The following is a 1,096-nucleotide window of genomic DNA, read 5'->3' as shown; positions in this document are numbered from 1 at the left end:
AGGAGTACTCATGAAAGAACAGGTAAGTTAAAGCAACGAAGTAGGGATGTTGAGGTCCCCAGAGACCAGCAGCAGCAGGAAACCATTACTACCTCAAGGTCTGAAGGGACAAGGGAGAGAAGAGTGCTCCTGGAGCCAGTCTGAGCTGGAATCCTGGAAAAGTGGAAGAGGGACCCCCTTAGCAGGAGTTGTAGACACAGAAGGATGCAGCAGCTGCCAAGAAAAATGGTCCAAAGCAGGGAGGGGACAGGGAAAACATTTTCCAACCTCTCTTTCCTCCCACCTTCCAATTTACCTCCAGGATGTCACATTGGCTGATCCCAGCTGGAAGCCAGAAGTCTAAGGGGCCCAAGGGATTGTCTATTGTACAGTGCAGATCAGAGCATGGAAAGGTGGAGAGGGATGTGAATGGGAAGGGTGGGAAAACAGAGGATAACCAGAAAAACTATATTGGATTACGGCCTGTCAGTTTTAAATGCAGATGCCCCACATTTCTGCAGTGTGTATGTCAGCTTTTTGAGCATAGGAATCACACCTTTTAATCTCATGTTGCTTCTGAAGTTAGTACCTGGCTTCAAGGCACATATTTAGTACTTCTTGACTTGAATTGAGTTGAAACATCATCATTGCTTTAAACTCCAGAGACTGCACAATGATCTAGCATATTCCATTCTGTCATGTTGCCACAACTCAAAGCAGCACGATGGCGTCCCCTTAACACACAGGACCTGTTGCTTTAATGTCAATCTCTTTTTCTATTTTTATTTTTATTATACTTTAAGTTTTAGGGTACATGTGCACAACGTGCAGGTTTGTTACATATGTATACATGTGCCATGTTGGTGTGCTGCACCCATTAACTCGTCATTTAACATTAGGTATATCTCCTAATGCTATCCCTCCCCCCTCCCCCCACCCCACAACAGGCCCCGGTGTGTGATGTTCCCCTTCCTGTGTCCATGTGTTCTCATTGTTCAATTCCCACCTATGAGTGAGAACATGCCGTGTTTGGTTTTTTGTCCTTGCGATAGTTTGCTGAAAATGATGGTTTCCAGCTTCATCCATGTCCGTACAAAGGACATGAGCTCATCATTTT

This window comes from Homo sapiens, chromosome X, assembly GCF_000001405.40.
Source record: "Homo sapiens chromosome X, GRCh38.p14 Primary Assembly".
Classification (NCBI taxonomy): Eukaryota; Metazoa; Chordata; class Mammalia; order Primates; family Hominidae; genus Homo; species Homo sapiens.
Note: the sequence above shows the minus strand (reverse complement) of the source record.